Source organism: Homo sapiens, chromosome 8, assembly GCF_000001405.40.
Source record: "Homo sapiens chromosome 8, GRCh38.p14 Primary Assembly".
In the NCBI taxonomy this organism is placed as follows: domain Eukaryota; kingdom Metazoa; phylum Chordata; class Mammalia; order Primates; family Hominidae; genus Homo; species Homo sapiens.
Window position 1 is genome coordinate 90,561,604 of NC_000008.11, and position 9,709 is coordinate 90,571,312.

Consider the following 9,709-nt stretch of genomic DNA (forward strand, 5'->3'; position numbering starts at 1 on the left):
TGTGACCTTAGGCAATATACACAGCACATTTGGTCTCAATTTCTTCATCTCTAAAGTGGGGGGTTTGGGAGAAGACTAAAGGATATGATGTACTTGAATCACCACTGGAGAACATTACACAGAGGTCTTCAATATGTGGAAGTTTATTCCTCAAATACTTCTATGACATTTATTAAAATTTATTTTGAAAGAATAAAGTTTATTCAATAAAATATACTGAAATTCCTCCACAAACATTTTTCTCATGACTTTTATAACTTCAAATTTTCACTCTTAAAAAAGAAAATTATTTTATAAATTGAACATCAGCATTTATCTTGTCAACCACTGCTGAGAAGTCAGAGTATCTGGGGGTAGAATATGTTAGCTTTTAAATGGTATGCAGATACAGCTTGGTTCAACTTTGAATAGAAAGTTAAAATACTTCAATCACCCAAATCTTCAAGATACATTCAAAAGTCAGGCACCAGCCAGGTGTGGTAGCTCACGCCTGTAATCCCAGCACTTTGGCAGGCCGAGGCAGGTAGATGGCTTGAGGTCAGGAGTTTGAGACCAGCCTGGCCAACATGATGAAACCCTGTCTCTACTAAAAATACAAAAGTTAGCCAGGCGTGGTGGTGCCCACCTGTAATTCCAGCTACTTGGGAGGCTGAGGCAGGAGAATTGCTTGAACCTGGGAAGTAGATGTTGCAGTGAGCTGAGATGGCACCACTACACTCCAGGCTGGGTGACTCCATCTCAAAAAAAAAAAAAAAAAAGTCAGGCAGGATGTCATTTACCAAATTAGTACTAAGCGTTCACGGCACTTGTTAACTTTTGTACTTGTGTTTGATACAACTGGTTACTTGTTACTATTCTTCATGGCTGAACTTTGAAAAGATGTTGAGTATATAGCATTTCCAACTTTGGAAATTGTTTTCCCACCTCTCTGGAAATAAAGTCCTTTATGTAAAAATTTTAATAGGCTTGTATGTGAAACTGTAAGTTTTGTTATGCAATACCCAGTGTATGTGTGGATATGTATGGGTGTGTGTGTATATATATATATATATATATATATATATATATATGTTCGGTATATGCATACACACATATATGTGTAACTGTTTCCAGGAGTTGTTTTAGTTTTTAAGGCTCCTCCTCCTCCTTCTCTTCCTCCTCCTTCACCCAGGCCTTTATTCTTCCCTCCTTTTCTCCCTCCTTCCATTGTCTTCCCTCTTTCCTTCTCTCCTTTCTTTCTTCTTTGCTTCCTCCACATATATTCATTAAGCTCCTTTTATGTGCCAAGGATATTAGGGACTTGATGTACATGATAAATAAGAAACCACTCCTGAGCCTAGAGTGTCAGGGATAATGACAAAATACATAAAATTGGAGCATAGATCAAGGGCAGCCAACCCAATTCGTGGGATCAGGTGAGGGTCTTCGAAAAATCTAAGCTCTGATGTAAATCCTTCCTCTGCCCCATCTACTTTTCTTCAGTTCTGGAAACTCCTAGCCATTATCACTTTGAACACTGCCTGTACCCTGTTCTCCTACCATTCACCTTTGGAACTTCTACTGATGCTTATGTTTAACTTTTTAACTTAATTTATTCATCTTATAATTTTTTTCATATTTTCCATTTCTTTTTTCCACTATTTTGCATTCTGAGTGAGTTCCTCAAATCTAGTTTCTAATTCACAAATGCTTTCTTTAGGTGGGTCTAGCCTACCATTTATGTATTAATTAGTTTAAGTTTCAATCATCATACTTCAACTATCATATTTCCATTTTTAGAACTATTATGTTCTTAATAAATCCAATTGTGCTTTTCCCCAATATCCTGAATTTATTTCGTAGGTCCCATTCATTTCTCTGATTTAAAATATTTATTTGAAAAATTCCTTTCATATAATTCAACAGTCTGTAGATTCTGCACGTGAATGGTCACAGCTGTTCTGTGTTTTGAACCTCTATTGGTGGTGAGTTTTTTTTTATATTACTTGACTGAGCTCATTTCTGGCAGAAGTTGTGGAAATGCTTCCTCTGCTTTGAAATGAGGGGGGCAGGTAGCCTCCTGCCTAGGGCAGTTTGGTATGTGCCTCTAGCAAAGTTTTGTGAGTTTCATTGGTTCCATGCTAGTTTCAACACTGGCTTCTCAGCCAAGTCCCTGCCCTGGCAAGTAGTGTGTATCCATGCCCCACCCACAGTCTTAGGTGCTCACATTTCTTGTGGATGCCTGTTTATCACAGTCTAGTACAGTCATCTGGCATCCAACTGTGCCCAAGAATTGCTACTAATGAATACAGTTAATTTACTCATAATTCATGAACTACACAATTCCTTGAAAGCTCCACTATTTAAGGAGTCCAATGCCAACTTCCTAACACCTTGTAGGTGTTGGGAGACCAGTCCATAACACATACCACAAAGGACTACTTGGCATCCACTTTCATTCATCAAAATGGCTTTGAGTTTTCTCTTTGCATCAGACTCCTAATTTGTTCCTGTTCTTTCAGTTGAACTTATCTAAGATGTAATATTTTAATATCTACTTTATCCAGTGTTTCTCTGTGTATAGACCTAGGCAGGGCAGAGGAATGGAGTGGCAGTTTCCATATCTGCTCAGCCCACCTTGTTGCCTCTACAATTATGAAGCAGAGTCTTAAAGGTTAAGAAGGATGTGCAGATACTGTGCTAACTCCACGTTCACTCTAAGGATTTTATCCCTTATCGGAATTCCTGCGTACTGTGTCAGTTTTTGTTCACTTAATGACAAACTTCCTTGAATTCATGTAATTTTACTTATCCATACTCCACATTCACCCACGTTGGTTTTACCTCAGGAAATGATGACTAGATTTATAAGAGAACTAGGATTTTGAATGGATGCTGGGTCTAATTCCCAGGTCATGGGATGATCTGTGCTGCAATCCACCATGGCACACATTTACCCATGTAACAAACCTACACGTGTAACCATGACCTTAAAATTAAAGTTGAAGAAAAAAGAAAGATTTACACCTAAGTTTAAGGAGACAGAAAGAAAGAAAACAAGGATTTTGTACCTTAACAAAATGTGTGATCTGAACGTGGAGGGGGCATACCTAGGGCTGGCAACCTGCAACACCTCCACTGTGCTGGACTGGCAAGAGAAGGATGTTGTAGTGAGGGTCAAGAGGTGCATGTGTTGCAAAGGGATTCCAGGCAATGATACCCTAACATCCCTCTCACCCTCTGTTAGCTTTCTCTCATTTTCATTTAGTAATAATTCCCTAATCACCGTATATGGGATTATACATCGTTCATCTATACACTCTGTTATGGGATGAGGTATATAATAATCCACAGGGCAGGGGTGTTAAAGATTGTGAGGTACAGATGACCCATCCATGAGGTGACAACACAGCAGAAGCTCTGAGGCCACACATGCCCAGGTATAACTTTGGATCTTAGAACACGTGTCAAGGGCCTAGGAAAAGCTGCCCTTTGCATGTGTAACTCTACATTACCCAACATATAGGCCAGTTTCAATTCCAGATATATTTGATATATTCTAATAGTCATAAGCTACTAGATATTGTCTAATTTGATCCTTACCACAATCCCATTAGGAAAGAATTATGCATGTTGTATGAGTCTTTTATTCATTCATTCAACAAACATTAATTCCATTCCCTCTGTGTGACAGACACCATTCCAGGCAGAGAGTTTACAGCTGAGCAGACAGAAAAGTTTAAGTAAGTTGTCCACAGGCCACACTACCATCAGGCGCCAGTCTGAATTTAAATCAAGATCTCTAACTACAAAAATGCTAACCACTACCCAGTACTTCCTTCCACATGTTGCAAGTAAACTTTTATAATTGTGGTACTGTTATCTTTCTTTCTTTCCTTTCTTTTCTTTCTTTCTCTCTTTTTTTTTTTTTTTTTTTTTTAACATGGTCTCACTCTGTTGCCCAGGCTGGAGTGTAGTGGTGCAATCACGGCTCACTGCAGCTTTGACCTCCCTGGCTTAAGTAATCCTCCCACCTCAGCCTCCCAAGTAGCTGGGACTAGAGGTGCATGCCACCATGACTAGCTATTTTTTTTTTTTTTGTAGAGATGGAGTCTTATGTTGTCCAGGCTGGTTTAGAACTCTTGGGCTCAAGTGATCCTCCTGCCTCCAGCTCCCAAAGTGCCGAGATTACAGGCATGAGCCAACCTGCCTAGCCAGTATTGTGATTTTTTTTTTAATTTCCTCTATTTTCCATTTTCCTTCCTCCTAGTCATGTCCTGTCCTAGGGCTGCTTCTCTTCATAAAGGGACTAAGTCAGGTACTGGATTAAATTTTCAACAGAAATTTAAAATGTTGCAATAAAAGCAATTCAGTGGAACCCTAAGTATGATGCCATATATTTAAAAAAATTTCAGACAAAATAAAAATTCAAAACATTTATAGCATAATATTATCTAATGCCCTTTTTCTAAAGACTTCTAAATTCTTCTTTCTTTTCTTCTTTTTGCTTTTTTTTCTCAGTGTTCAGGTTTGTATTTAATCTCTAAAAAGGAAGTGGCTTAATGTTCAACTGCTTGTTCTTTTCTTTTCTAGTTGTTCGCATCTATTTTTTGCTTTGCTTTCCAAGTTAAATCTTCACTTTTTTTTTTTTGCTGTTAGCCTCTTCCCATCCTTCAAATGGTTTCTGTATAAAGTTCTTTAGTTTTTAAAACTCTTTCTTCACAGACAACTTGCCTTTTTTCTAAAATGTTTTGAAGATTTTCCTGTGTTACGGGAACCAAGACATAAGGGAAACCTTGAAAAACTTATGTTTCAGTCATTTACAAAAGCTTCCTGCTGTACTGAAAAGTAAAAAAATAAAATAAAATAAAATAAAGATATTTTGTTTCTGATTTTCTGATTTCAGCTTATGTTGACACATCGTTCTAGGAAGAAAACAGAACATTTCTGCTCATCAGTGTTTTGCAGTAAGAACTTGTGACCCCTAATTGTCAATATATCCTGTGGGACGGTAGGTTTTATGCCTTAACAGAGGCCACATCAGTGTGCCCTCTGCCCAAATAGCCCTCTTCCCATCACTTGATGGGATGACATTGGCTAGGGCATGACCAATGGAAGAAGGCCATTTTACCTTCTTCCCATGTTGCTCACACACTTAAATGTTCAGGGCTTTTCTGTGCTCTCAAGGCCACACTCCTCAACCAAATAAGAAAGAACTCACATGATGGGATGACACTGAGTAGGGTACTGTCTAACTCATTGCTCACCTCTTAGAATGGAAGGACAACACATTCAGTTGTTGCTAATGCCTTAGAATGAATATGTTTGTTAGGTGGCTCTTTTGGGGCTAGTTCAAAAAGGCCACTGACAAGAATGGGAGGAGACTAGATCGGTCATGTTGGGGAATAAAGGGTGAGATGAAGGATCCATGAAAGAGCCATACATGTGGATTACCTGGGAGAGCCCATGAAGACCCTGGTACCTGGAGAGTGGAGTGGGCAAGAAATAAAAGGGCAATTCAGAAGGGAGAGTGGTAGCCTGAACAGAAACTTCCAAACTGTAATAATCAAGGATTCGGAGAAAGCTTAATATGGGGATCTCCAGAGACTGAATTTGCAGAACAAGTGAAGCAGCACAGGGGCTGCCGTTGGTGAACATTCTAACCTTGGTCACCCAGTTAATGTGCTATAGCTTCTGGGGAATACACTTGTCGTAACTGCCACCAAATAGTGAGGTTTTCCTTGAGTAATGAGAAGAAAAATGCATTCACTACCTCAATTCAGTACACAAAGCCCGCAAAGGATAGTTTTACAGGGTTTTAATATCTTCCTGAGCTTTTTAATGAGGGAAACCAAGCACGTCATATCTGCTTTGCTGAAACTTTAAGATTAATGTGGCTGAGTGCAGTGGCTCACGCTTGTAATCCCAGCACTTTGGGAGGCCTAGTCAGGTGGATCACCTGAGGTCAGGAGCTCGAGACCAGCCTGGCCAGCATGGTGAAACCACATCTCTACTAAAAATACAAACATTAGCCAGGTTTGGTAGTGGGTGCCTGTAATCCCAGCTACTTGGGAGGCTGAGGCAGGAGAATTGCTTGAACCCAGGAGGTGGAGGTTGCATGAGCCAAAGTCGTGCCTCTGCACTCCAGCCTGGGCAACACAGCGAGACTCCATTTCAAAACAACAACAACAAAAAAAAAAAAAGATTAATGTACAAGAAGTAAAATATGTGGTAAAAAATAAGTTGTCCGTATTCAATACTTGTAAAAGCAAACTTTGCAAGTTGTGCTTCTAATTCATTCATGACAAAAAAGCTCCACCAAGCTTCCATTCAGCACTGGCAAACACTGCATCAACACTCCCCCTCCCTTATTCCAGACAGACATTAACACGTTGTCCACAGTCTCTTACACAGCTGAAATCTTTATCATCTTATATCTCAATGCTGTGCTGCAGGAAGCCATGAAAAATTAATCGGGACTGGTATCCCAGGTGGAGCTTGTGTGAACCTGGTAACTTAATCCCTGCCATGTACTAGGAGAACCCAGGTTATGTAAAATCATGCCATTGCATAAGTTTGTCTTTTCTGTCCTGGTCACTGGCCATTTTGCCTTCTTCCCATGTTGCTCACACACTTAAATGTTAGGGCTTTTCTGTGCTCTCAAGGCCACATTCCTCAACCAAATAAGAAAGAACTCACATGTTTCTGATCATTTATTGACTAATTATAGATAACTATAGATAGTTCTTAAAGGGGTCAGTTGGTGGTACTGTCAATGTTTCCTTCCTCCCAAATGTTTCTTTGATTTTCCTAAGGATGAATTAGCTGCCCTGCTTCCAAGCATAACAAGAAATGTAAGTGCATTTCTACTAAAAGTAAATCTTTCTCTCACAGTGTCCAGCATTGTGGGATCTCTGTTAATCGCTGTTTATATGTGAGCCTTTAAAGAATGAACATAATGTCAGTTTTGCCTGGGGTAAATTCTTTTATTCCTTATTCAGTTTTCTTACCCAGAAGATTTCCCATCTGAATCACTTTTACCTGGTTTGTTTGACTGGCACGTGGATCCACTTATTGAGATTCCAACTCAAGCTCATTTGGAAAAAAAACTAGAGACTGCACATTTTGAAACAGAAATTCTCCAGGACCTGATCCTGGCATCTTCCATGTCTCTCTAAGGTCTAGAAAGCACACCTGCTTTCACTGATTCTGATAGAGGCCTCTGCTGATTTTCAAAAGGGTCATATGAGAATTCTGAGAGTTCTGCACAACTTAAGATGCCTCTTGGGAGAACTAGCAAGACTAGGAGACAGACCCTTTCCCCATGCTGTGCTTATAGGGTTACCTGACAACAAAGGTTTGCTCCCTACCCCTCAAAATACCATGCACTTTTCTGACTCAGCTTTGAGTCACACTACTGAAGGGTGGCAGGCTATGCCACCCCCAAATATGCCACTTTGACATAAGGATCACTTCAAGCCAGAGGCACTTGAAAAAGAGCAGATTCAAGAAGATTACATGTATTCTAATCTTCCCTTTCTTTTCCCTGAAGGTAGGAGATAAAAACTATCATGTGGAAGATGCCCTCCCTGTGCCAAGAGAAAAGAAACATTCTTCCATGAAGACTCATAGCCGAGATAATTCCGTATAAACAGACCTTGTTAAAAGAATTATCTCCCTTTGGCCTCCCCACAAAATTTAGATACTTTTCCACAATTGCCTCTTTACAAAATCATGTAAGCCTTGCTTTTTTTTTTATCTTCATTTTCTCATGAGGGCTCCTGTGTCATGTAAAATATGTTAAATTTATACGCTTTTCTCTTGTTAATTTATCTTACGTCAATTTAATTCTCAAGCCCAGCAGAGACCCTAGAAGGGCAGAGGTAAATTTTTGCCTGCACTACACTATTGATCCCAAAACACACACACAGAGAGAGAGAGAGAGAAAGAGAGAGAGAGAAACTCTCTTCCTATTCTGTGCCAGTGAAATTCTGCCATCAGCAAATATATCTTTTCTGACTTTGAAAATACTGATGACAGTGGAGATTAAAATCCTACCAAGGCTGCTGCAGAATCAATGACACATGAGGTGGCCAGGCATGGTGGCTCACGACTGTAATCCCAGCACTTTGGGAGGCCAAGGTGGGTGGATCCCCTGAAGCCAAGAGTTCAAGACCAGCCAGGCTAACATGGTGAAACTCCATCTCTACTAAAAATACAAAAAATTAGCCGGGTGTGGTGGCACATGCCTGTAATCCCAGCTACTCAGGAGGCAGAGAGAGGAGAATTGCCTGAGCCCAGAAGGTGGAGGTTGCAGTGAGCCGAGATCATGCCACTGCACTCCAGCCTGGGTAACAGAGTGAGACTCCGTCTCAAAAAAAAAAACAAAAAACAAAAAACAAAAAAAAAACACATGAAGCTTTACCAGAAGATTTCAGTATGTCCTCCAGTGCGTAATTCATTTGTTCAACAATTTTTACTGGGCAGGCATTCTAATAGATGTTGAGGATATCACAATAAATAAGGCAAACAAAATCTCTACCCTATGGTAGAGATTTTGAAATATCAAATTATTAAGTTTTAGGAAAATTCAATGACAAAAAGAAAGTCTTATAATATTACCATGTCCAGATAATGTAAGTATTTACACATTACTATTTCAATTTCATTCAATTTTTTTCTAAACTTTTATTTTTTCAAACATGTAATCATAATATATTAGTGCTAAGTATTAAAACAATTTCTTAATTCCCATGTAAATTTAAGGGTATTTAAGCTTTTTTTTTTTTTTTTTTGAGACGGAGTTACACTCTTGTTGCTCAGGCTGGAGCTCAATGGCGCGATCTCAGCTCACCGCAACCTCCGCCTCATGAGGTTCAAGCAATTCTCCTGCCTCAGCCACCCCAAGTAGCTAGAATTACAGGCATGCGCCACCACGCACGTGGAATCAGTTGTATTGTTTCAATACAACTTTTGGAAATAAAAGTATGGCAAATTCTCACTCTCTTCCTTAGGTAAGCACCAAACTTTAAAAACAAAAGGCACTCACTATAAGTGTGCTGTAGTGTTATAATGGCTATGAGGTCATTAAGAGATAGGAATTTTTCAGCCCGTTATAATCTTAGGGGACTATTGTATACGCAGTCTATCATTGACTAAAATATTATTAGGCAGTATATGACTGTACTTTTGTTTAAGATCTTATGACAAATCCAAATAAAAAGAAAAAATAAAATAATTAAATGAAAAGAAAGGTGTATCATTTCTTCTACCATATGGAGCTATATACTAACTGACACATATATGGTTCACACTAGGCCTTTCTTTGGGGTTTTAGAATGAGAGTCCATTTAGTCCAGAAGTTTATAAAAGTTACGAAAATTATTATTTGTGTTAGGATTAATAAAAATGTATTTCTACCAGCTGAATATTTGATTGGCATTACATTTATCCACTTATCACTCTAAATAAATAAACAAATATATACACTCACATTTCTTTTCTTTTAAACACTCTCTCCCTCAAAAAGAAAAGAAAAAAAAAAAGAAAAAAAAGAAAAGGAGACTTTCCTAAAAAGATAAAGGCAGGTTTAGTGAAGCACTAAGTGAAAAAGTGTTAGTGTCCTGCCATCCTGTGGTTAGGAACAGTACTACAGCATTGTCTTGGCAATTTCCATCTGAGTATCCCTAAGAATCAGAAATGCAGTTAGCTTCACCAATAAATTAACTTT

At 38.9% G+C, this 9,709-nt stretch overlaps 1 long non-coding RNA gene across 2 annotated transcripts in view, besides 1 other annotated feature; it reads right to left on the minus strand.

Annotated features, from left to right (window-relative positions):
- The window catches only part of LOC124901975 (uncharacterized), a 267,232-nt gene extending 266,495 nt beyond the window's left edge, over positions 1 to 737 (minus strand). The window contains exon 1 of one of the 2 annotated variants that reach the window (XR_007061002.1): positions 626 to 667. This is a non-coding gene — a long non-coding RNA (uncharacterized LOC124901975). Of the gene's footprint in view, positions 1 to 625 lie in introns of both variants that reach the window. The other variant, XR_007061003.1, reaches the window with a different exon arrangement.
- Positions 7,495 to 7,996: an enhancer, noted in NCBI's record as "NANOG hESC enhancer chr8:91581326-91581827 (GRCh37/hg19 assembly coordinates)". NCBI's record gives its function as "activates a minimal SCP1, AML or CMV promoter by ChIP-STARR-seq in naive H9 embryonic stem cells {active_cell/tissue: H9 hESC(naive)}" and the evidence as "EXISTENCE:reporter gene assay evidence [ECO:0000049][PMID:30033119]".